General features: G+C 46.0%; 1 protein-coding gene across 2 annotated transcripts in view, besides 1 other annotated feature; it reads left to right on the plus strand.

Annotated features, from left to right (window-relative positions):
- SLC35F3 (solute carrier family 35 member F3) overlaps positions 1-2,567 on the plus strand; it is a 419,836-nt gene extending 417,269 nt beyond the window's left edge. For both annotated transcript variants that reach the window (NM_173508.4, NM_001300845.2), the window contains one exon: positions 1,064-2,567. In NM_173508.4, coding sequence (NP_775779.1) covers positions 1,064-1,299 — 236 coding nt within the window. In that variant the 3' untranslated portion in view covers positions 1,300-2,567. The remainder of the gene's footprint in view (positions 1-1,063) is intronic.
- Positions 4,638-4,807: an enhancer, noted in NCBI's record as "experimental_6359 CRE fragment used in MPRA reporter constructs". NCBI's record gives its function as "activates a minimal promoter by MPRAs in K562 erythroleukemia cells, with activity observed for the non-introgressed 1:234462413 variant allele {active_cell/tissue: K562}" and the evidence as "EXISTENCE:reporter gene assay evidence [ECO:0000049][PMID:34662402]".

The raw sequence follows: 7,571 nt of genomic DNA on the forward strand, positions 1-7,571 counted from the left end.
CCAAGGTGGGAGGATCGCTTGAGCCCAGGAGTTCTAGACCAGCCTGAGCAACATGACAAAACCCCATCTCTACAAAAATAATAATAATAATAATAATAACAAAAATTAGCCAGGCGTGGTGGCACCTATAGTGCCAGCTACTCAGGAGGCTGGATGGGAGAATCGCTTGAGCCCGGGAGGTGGAGGTTGCAGTGAGCCCTGATGGCACCACTGCACTCCAGCTTGTGTGACAGAGTGAGACCCTGTCTCAAAAAAAAAAAAAAAATACAGTTGACCCTTGAACAATGTAGAGAATGGGGGCACAAACCCCTGAATAGTTGAAAATCCACATACAACTTTCAGTTCCCCAAAAACTTAACTACTAATGGGGTACTGTTGACCAGAAGCCTTACTGATGAAAAACAGTTGATTCACATATGTTGTATGTGTTATTTGTGTTATGTATTGTACTCTTACAATAAAGTTAAAGAAAAGAAAATGTTATTAAGAAAATCGTAAGAAAGAGAAAATATATTTGCTACTTGTTAAGTGGAAGTGGGCCACATAAAGGTCTTCATCTTCACTGTCATCTTCACATTGAGTAGGCTGAGGAGGAGAAGGAAGAGGAGGGGTTGGTCTTGCTGTCTTGGTGTGGCAGAGGTGGAAGAAAATCCACATGTAAGTGGATCCGTACAGTTCAAACCCATGTTGTTCAAGGGTCAAATGCGTGTGTGTGTGTGTGTGTGTGTGTGTGTGTGTGTGTACTATCTATCTCTCATCTCCTCAACTGCCCTTCATTCACTTGTTTTAATCACATAAATCAATGTTTGAACTACCAAGTCAGTTTTGGGAGGTGACATACAAGTGCAAGGCTTCATACCAGAGAGGTTTGATAAAGTTAAGGGTTGTTTACTAGAGGTAACCCCAGCCCACCTGGAACAAAATCATACTGAGGAGAATCCTGTGGTCCAGGGAAGACCACAACACTGCCAGACAGAGGAGGGTGCCCCCAGGCCCTGCCCACTCTCCAGGGACATGCCCCCAACCCTGCAGCTGAGAAACCTCCATGCTCTGTCTCCCACAGTGATTGATCACTACACCAGTCAGATCGTCTTCAATGGGGTCCGGGTCATCGCCATCATCATCATCGGCCTGGGTTTTCTCCTCCTGCTCCTGCCAGAGGAGTGGGATGTCTGGTTGATCAAGCTGCTCACCCGACTCAAAGTGAGGAAGAAGGAGGAGCCTGCAGAGGGCGCTGCCGACCTGAGCTCAGGACCTCAGAGCAAGAACAGAAGAGCCCGCCCTTCCTTCGCCCGCTAACACCACTCCTCTAGAACTCGGTGGTAATGACTGGGAGGTCTATTCCTGCCGGGAGGAACCTCAGTTGGGTAAGGTGTACATACCTGTACAGTTTTGGTCATCTGCGGTAAGTTCTATGGTATTTATTGGCATGTCCAATTTGCTTGCACTTTTCCACATCAGACCTTCCACTTAAGGGTACCAATTCAATACAAAAGAGAAAAGAAGAACCTCTCAGTGCTTTTCCAACGAATGTAAAGTGGGTTTAAAAGTTCCCTGCGTAGATCGTTTTGGATGGCTGACGTTCTTGACAAGCCAGCCATCAGGGCAAGTGTTTTGAATCTTAGCAAGTGTTTTGAATCTTAGCAACTGAACATGACATTGCACACTGTGATTATTTTTCAGCTATGGTAGGTCATATTTTGTTTTATACCAGAGCTGTACTCTTAATTTTAAGGAATTTCAATGAACCAAAAGATAACTGTCAATTTATTTGGATGGATGGATGGAGGGATGGAAGGAGGGAGGGAAGGATGTCTGGGATGTGAAGAGGCAAGGCAGAAATGGATGATGAACATCAAAAACTGTCAGAGGACAGGTCTGTGCCAGGTACCAGGAAGGACAAGATAAGTCCAAGCCCCGGCTGGCCTGCTCTCACGTGTCTGTGTAAGATCATGCAAGAGAAATCACAGTGCCTTCTACAGAATTTTCGTCTTTACCTATGTGAAGCGAGGTGACGTGATACGTCACTGGCGCCGTCTTATAATTTAGATGTAAAAATCTTTAGAAACAAATAAAACTCTCTATATATGTGTATGTCTGTGTACAAAAAAATGACAGAGCTGATGGCCAGTGTATACAGAGCGTGGCCCGCGGTGTACAATACCCATATAAGGTACATTGTGCAGGAGGGGAATTGCTGGCTGCTTTTACTTCCTGACCAAGACTGAAAAATTATTTACTGAAATCTGTAAACCTTTTTATGAAACTTTTAAGCACCAGGCTGTTTACTTACACAATTTAGGTCTGCCAGAAAATTCTATCTGTGATAGATCTGTAAAGAGGGTCAGGGGTTAGAGTTTACTATTTTTGAAGTTTACATTGTTACATATGAAATGGAAACATTATTTTGAAACGTTGTCATAACCCAATGGTGCATTCTGTAACCATGGAGTCTTCTGTTTCCTGGGGGAAAGGGGCATTCATGACCTGAACTTTTTAGCAAATTATTATTCTCAGTTTCCATTACCTGTTTGGCCAAACAGATTAATAAAATATTTGAAAAAGAAGCGTTCAGTGCTGTCTCCATGGCCATTCTGTTACTTTCCCACTGCACCAGTCCTGAAGCAGTCCTCACCACATTCTGGCTTTTCCTCAATTGCACTTGCCCCCAAGAACCTTCAGGGTGGGTAAGCCAGCCCATCTGTCTCAAGGGAAGGAGACTGTAATATCGATAGAATTGACTTTTGCAAAAGTGAAATGCAGAAGCATCCCCAAAGCCTCACAGAAGCTCTAAGTCCTGGGGCAGCCTCTCCCTCCTCCACTTTTCCCCTGTTCCTCTCCCTCTCCCTCAAGGCACCTGCCCTCCGCTCAGCCCTGCCTGTGGCTTCCTTCTCACTTTTTCTTCTGAACGGGATCCGCAGCTCAGTTTACACTGGTCTCTAAGTGCCACCTAGAGCGGCAGCCCCAGTCCATAAATCTACCCAGTCTTCCAGCTCAGCCCCCACAGCCGCCTGCCTGCCTTGGGCATCCTAACTTAATGCTGGCATTTTCAATAATTTGATTGCTCCACTTCAGTAACATTATGCAGCTGTTCCAAGCAGCTGCTATGCCAGGGGCTATGAGAGCCAGTGGGTCTCATTCTAGGGCTACAGAGGGCCAAGTACTCTAGGAAGGGGTGTGAGCCAAGGGGAAACAAGAGCCTTTTTAGTACACCTCATCCCATCACCCACACCTAGAGCGTCTACACTCCATGCACCACACGTACCACTTGACACATGGGCTCTAAACCTGGAGAATCTCGTTATCCAGAGCAGAGAGCTCCCCTACCCCATGTGTCCAGGCATGTCTGGGAGGGGGCAGCTGGGGCAGCAGGATGCTGGGCTAGTTACCTCCACTACCCTGTTGAGGCTCCAAATCCCAGGGAGACAAACAGATATTTCCTTTGTAAGCCAGGACACGAAAAAGTGGGGAAGCCCTGCCTTAGGGTAGATTCATCTTATTCTCCCATTGGGCAAAAATGACCATGAAAACCCAAAAGAGTTGAGAACATGGACTCAAAGGGATATGTGCACACCCACATTCGTGGCAACACTATTCACAACCAAAAGTGGAAGCGGCCCAAGTGCCCATTGACAGAAGAATGGATGAAAAAAATGTGGCATGGCCATACAGTGGAATATTATTCCACTTTAAAAAGAAAGAAAATCTGAGCCAGGTGTAGTGGCTCACACCCATAATCCCAGCACTTTGGGAGGTGGAGGCAGGAGGGTCCCTTGAAGCCAAGAGTTCCAGACAAGCATGAGCAACATAGTGAGTCCCTCTCTTTACAAAAATAAAAATTCAAAAATTAGCTACGCATGGTGGTGCATGCCTGTACCCCTGGTTATTCGGGAGGCAAGAGGATCCTTTGAGCCCAAGCGTTCTAGTCTGCAATGAGCTATGATCACACGAGTGCACTCCAGCCTGGGCAACAAGGCAAGACCCTGTCTCAAAAAAAAGAGGAAAAGAGGAAGAAGAAAGAAGAAGAAGAGGAAGAAGAAGAAGAAGAAGAAGAAGAAGAAGAAGAAGAAGAAGAAGAAGAAGAAGAAGAGGAAGAGGAAGAGGAAGAGGAAGAAGAAAGAAGAAGAAGAAGAAGAGGAAGAGGAAGGAGCAGGAGGAGGATGGAGGATGGAGGATGGAGGATGGAGGGGGAAGGGGGAAAGAATTCTGACACATGCTACAATATGTTGAATCTTGAAGACACTGCTGGGTGACATAAGCCAGTCACAAAAGGACAAATGCTGTCTGATTCCACTTATATGAGGTTCCTGGAGTAGTCAAACTCATAGAGACAGAAGTAGAATGCTGGTTGCCAGTGGCTGGGGAGAGGGGAAATGGAGAGTTATTGTTTAGTGGGCATATAGTTTCAGTTTGCAAAGATGAAAAAAACCTGGTAGCGATTGTTGAACAATGTGAACGTACTTAATGCCACAGAACTGTACGCTTAAAAATAGTTTAAATGGTAAATTTTATGGCACGCGCATTTTATCGAAATTTTTAAAGGGACTATGAAGGGTAACGTGTATGAAATAAAATGGTTAGAACTCTCTTGCGGTCCTTTCGATACATTCTAAACCTGAGTTGGGGTTGCGGGAGGGGTAGGTTGAGAGATTTCTTTCCAGAAAGAAAACAGCCACAACCACAACACCTCCACTCCCCACCGCGCCAGAAGGTGGCCAGCACGGGGATGCGCTGCGGCAAACCTAGGAGGGACCCAAAAGCAGAAAATCCTAGAAAAGAGTTCCTGCGGATGGAACAGCGGGGCGGCTCTGAGATGCAGTCTGTGTCCCCGCTCAGCTGGGGAATTGTCTGCCCTCTAGAGGCGGGTCTGGGTAGCAATTAAAGAATGTTTCTCTGGGCTCCTTTAAAGAGGAAAAGTGAAGCCAAGACGGAGGGTACAAGAGAGGAGACCAGGACTTCCGTCTGCTGCTGATGAAAGAGGCAAAAAGCTCTGGGAAATCTCTGCTCTCTCCTTTCTTTCAGAATGTGATCGTTTGGAGCTAGAGGGCATGAAGTGACCTGCTGGCCGCCTTGCCACACCAAGTCAGAGCCGTCCCTAAGAACCCACACCTGCCGTACAGACCCTGAGCTCCTGCTCCTCTTGAGCCTTCAAGGATAGAGTTAGGCAGGAGGAATTCATGGCCAGAGACTTACTACCCCATAGAACAGATGTGTTTCTAAATCTAGCCAAGGTTGCATAACATGGAATTCTTTATCTTCAATTTTGAAAACAAATGGTTTGTCCTAAAATTAGAATGTGGTGGTGGTTGCACCATTCTGTGAATATACTAAAACTCAATACACTGCATAATTAGATGAGTGAATTTTATGATGTGTGAATTATATCTCAATAAAGCAGTTTAATTAATAAATGGTTGCCCCACAAGCTGATTTTTTTTTTTTTAAGAGATAGGGTCTCACTGTCGCCCAGGCTGGAGTGCAGTGGCACTATCTCGGCTTGCTGCAGCCTCAACCTCCTGGGCTCAGGCAATCTGCCTCCCTCAGCCTCCCAAGTAGCTGGAACCATAGGCATGCGCCACCACACCTGGCTAATTTTTTTATTTTTTTAGAGACAAGGTCTTGCTATGTCGCCCAGGCTGGTCTCAAACTCCTGCACTCAAGTGATCTTCCTCCTTGGCCTCCCAAAGCTCTGGGATCACAGGTGTGAGCCATCGAGCCCAACCTCCACAAAATGATTTAAAATTTCTTTATGGAAATCTCATAAGCACAGAGGACATTTGTTGGGTTGTTTGTGTTCTTGACTGCCCAGCGCCTGATCCCTCTTTGAAATAGCACCTTGCTCTTGCTGTGGAAGCTGAAGGGAACAGAATCTCCATTTCGGATCCTCCCACAGCACAGGAGAGGCGAGGAGGGTGTGAACTGGACTTGGCTCTGAAGCAAGATGCCAGACCCCAAAGAACAGCCGAGAAGGTGGTGCTGACTGGCCAGCTCCTGAGGGCCCTGCGGGGCCTCTGGCCTCTTCCCACCATAAAGGTCCATGGTTCCGGCCCTTTTGCAAACAGATCCTTTGGACTCACAAAGTCCCAACAGGCCTTCCAATCAATTCTCTTTTGTCGAAGACAGCAGGACACCATTTCTGTCGATTGAGTCCAAGAACTCTGAACAATATATGTGAGAGAACTGGGATGTTCAAAGAAAAGCTGAGCATTTGTTTATTTGAGGTTTGTTTGTGTGTTTTAACTTTCTGGTACACTTCTTGAAACTGGGCTTATTATGGCCTAGCAGGACTCCTAGGTCAAACTGCTTTAAAGAATGGGTAAGAATAGCTTATAAGAAATGCATCAATGATATATACATAAGGAGAGCTTAAAAGCTCCTCAGTGCTCTTAAAATATTTTAAAATAATTTTTTAAAAAATAATATTGTCTCTTCCATATATTTTTGTGCACTCAGCATTGCCAAATTCTTGAGAACATCTTTTTCTTAAGTTAAAATAGTGGTAAACCAGCTGGTAAATTTCCTCCAAATTATCAAAAACTTTGGAGTTACTAGAATTATAGGAAATGAGATTTAATGTAAAGACAACTTAATGTGTTAAAAGTTTTAGCTCAAGCCTTTTTTTCTGTCTCTTACTGAAAAAGGTACATGCTTCCTGTAGAATATTGAGAAATACCTATAAACACACAATCTAGTAGTTGTCATTGTAACTGCAGGAGGGGTAGCAGTAGCCTGTGAGGATATGACAGGGGGGCGATCCCTCTGAGAAGGCCTTGAGGGGGCTCTCAGGCACGCTCTCTGGGAGAGAGGTAAGGGCAGGGAATGCCCGTGGGAAGCTAAGTGTACACACCTGCTTAGCTCTACACCTGCTCTTCTATCCCCACAGAAAAGACACTAAGGAGAGGCTCTTGCCAGAAGAAAAACATTAGAGGAAATTACAAACCTCCAGAAGGAAATTCCAGAAATCCCCGGAGTTTATTTCTTATTGGGAATAGAAGAGCATTTGGCCACCTAAGCCTTTTAATTTGTTCAGAATTTGTGGTATGCATGTCATAGGGGGATCTCAGAGGCTAGGGAGAGACAGCCACTGGAACCGCTGTTTCTAAGACCCTCTTCCTACCCGCCCACGGAAGTGGGAATGGGGATGGAAGGCCGCACCAGAGAACACTGGCTGAGACATGACTCAGGGACCCACACTCCTCCTCCCTGCACCTCTCCCATCTTCAACGTGCAGCTTTGCAGTGGCGAGCCAGAGAAGCAAGACGAGGAGGTGGCTCACATCACTGCTGCTCAGACTGGGAAGTGTTTGAACCCTGAGGGTTTGTTTAAACTTCCAGGCCAGTCTCCACACAGCAAGAGTGGGACCATATGGGGGTTAAAAAAAGAAACCCGGTCGGGCGCAGTGGCTCACACCTATAATCCCAGAACTTTGGGAGGCCGAGGCAGGTGGATCATTTGAGGCTAGGAGTTCGAGACCAGCCCGGCCAACATGGTGAAACTCCGTCTTTACTAAAAATACAAAAATTAGCCAGGTATGGTGGTGGGTGCCTGTAATCCCAGCTACTCGGGAGGCT

The sequence above is a fragment of the Homo sapiens genome, chromosome 1, assembly GCF_000001405.40.
Source record: "Homo sapiens chromosome 1, GRCh38.p14 Primary Assembly".
In the NCBI taxonomy this organism is placed as follows: Eukaryota; Metazoa; Chordata; class Mammalia; order Primates; family Hominidae; genus Homo; species Homo sapiens.